Below are 2,387 nucleotides of genomic sequence, written 5' to 3'. Positions count from 1 at the left end.
CTCACTCATAGGTGGGAGCTAAGCTAAAAGGATACAAAAGCATAAGAATGATACAATGGACTTTGAAGACTTGGAGGGCGGAAATGGTGGGAAGGGGATGAGGGATAAAAGGCTACAAATCGGGTTCATTGTATACTGCTTGGGTGATGGGTGCACCAAGATGTTACAAATCACCACTCAAAAACCTACTCATGTAACCAACTACCACCTGTTCCCCCAAAACCTATGGAAATTAAAACTTTTTAAAAATGAAATTTAAAAAGAGTTCATTTTGTTAAACACCTTTATTCTCTGGAAAATTAATTCCAAGTTCAGAGGTCAACACTGGGTAGCTGGATAGTAACCTGGCACCCTTGTGGGAAAATGAAAAAGCAAAAAATGGAGTAGTGATCTTTTTTCTAGTTAATAAGTGTGATGAATGGGTTGTCACGCACATGTATGAGTTGTGCCTTCCTCAAACCTTGTTACGACATCGGTACATTACCTATCTGGCATGAAAAAAAACAAAAAGGAATAGTTCAGGTGATGTCAGAGTGGGCTTGGAAAGCAGCCCTGAAGAAAAGGAGGTGGCTATGAAAAGCATTCCATATGGAGTACTGACGTGAGGGAAAGCCACATGCACTGAGATTTCAGGTGAGGAAATGGAAGGAGGTGATACCACTAACTAAAACAGAGACTTGAGTGAGGGTGCCAGTTCTAGGGAAATATCATACATTCTATTTTAGATGTATACATTTAGAGTATGTTGAGTTTCTGAATATAGCATATCACACAGGATAACTTTCATATCGTATATCACCCAGGAGAACAAGTTATAGAGGATATATTCTGGGCTAAGAATTATAATAAGTGATTTACAGATATCATCAAATTTAATCCTCACAACAGCCCTTGGAGGGCTTAATAGGCTGGTTTGGCAGCTTTGCCTTAAGACACAACTACCAAGGGCCAGGTCTGGGAGTAAAGCCAAGGTTCAGGTAACTACCAAGCTCATTCTCTCAACAATGATGTCTCCCATCATTCTGCCTTCCTGAAGATATTTTGGAGGCGTAACAAACATGATTCAGCGGGTAACTTCATATGAGGCCTAAAGAAAGCAGAAGAGTCAAATACTTCCAAAGTAGGGGTAGACATATGAATTTTTAAATCACTCATACAGAAGTGATCATGGATGGTTTGAAAAAGACATTGATCATTTCTCATGTTGCAACAATGTGGTGGAAAAGAGTATGAGGCAAAAACAAGGTCCTGAGCACCCATATCCGTAATTAGATTCTACACAGACAAAAGGGGCTAATCAGGCAGAACAAGGAAACTCAGAAATAGAGGATTCAGACATAGCAGGTATTAAAATATACTGTATCTTAGAAACACAAATTTAAAGAAGATGGATTTGATGACTCAGGTCAAATGCAACAGAAAGATCAAGCTAAAATGGTGAAAAAAATTATTTGGTCATTACTATGCTGTGGTGACTATGGAGGAGGCAGTTCTACTAGTAACATGGAGCCAGTTTGTGATGGCTAAATAGAAAGAGAAATGGAAACAGGGACTCTGGGTCTAACCCTGCATTTCACGTGGATTTTTTCTACCTACTTCTGTATCATCTAATAACTGCATACAATATGTATGTCTACATTTGACACTCTCATCAAAATATTCACTTCATTTAGCGTTTGATTTCTCGCGAGGTTCCGCTTGCTATTCTTAGGTCATGTTAGTCCACAGGCATCTGCATGCTCTAAAAAGGCCAGACATTGCTGTCTATGTTCTAAATCACAGCGACTTAGGCAGAAATCCATTACCAGGGAAAACAGTGGGAAAGAGCTGTGTAGCGATAAAGGAAAGAGGACAGAGTCAATAGTTTTTTAAAGGAATTCCTTCCTTTCCTCACTGTTACCTGTCTGGCCACAAATCACTCACAGTCAGACTGAACTGAGCTTACATGATCTGGCTTTCTGGCAGAGTCCAGATTTGTGCCCCTTCTCAAAGGGGGAATAACTGGGCCAGCTGCAGAAGCAGCTCTCCTTTGGAATTTCAACATGGAATTTTTATGCAGTTCTGCTCGCTCCTCTTTGGTGTTATAAAACAGTCAAGCAAGATGAATATGGCTGGTAATTTATACTAGGAACTTGCATTGAATTATACTTGGATGACTTATTAAATGAAGGATATTATCAATATTACATCTGTCATAAATGAAAAACTCCACGTTTGAATAGATCTGATCCATTCATTGTTTTATGGGCACACTGGCCTCCAGAGAGAGTCACAAATCCAAATGATGTCCCTGAGTGATGGATTTTATGTTCTCTTCCTCAGGCATTGCTAAAAGACATGTGAAATCCTTATGTGAAGTGAGGGTTCCCCTTTGGCCAAGGATCAAA

General features: G+C 39.6%; 1 non-coding gene across 1 annotated transcript; it reads left to right on the top strand.

The window, feature by feature from the left end:
* Window positions 1-389: 389 nt before the first annotated feature.
* Window positions 390-494, top strand: LOC124902088 (small nucleolar RNA U13). Its single transcript, XR_007061218.1, has one exon. It is a non-coding gene; the product is annotated as a small nucleolar RNA U13 (small nucleolar RNA).
* The last annotated feature ends 1,893 nt before the right edge of the window (window positions 495-2,387 follow it).

This window comes from Homo sapiens, chromosome 8, assembly GCF_000001405.40.
Source record: "Homo sapiens chromosome 8, GRCh38.p14 Primary Assembly".
Classification (NCBI taxonomy): Eukaryota; Metazoa; Chordata; class Mammalia; order Primates; family Hominidae; genus Homo; species Homo sapiens.
This window is presented reverse-complemented; position numbering and strand designations above follow the sequence as displayed.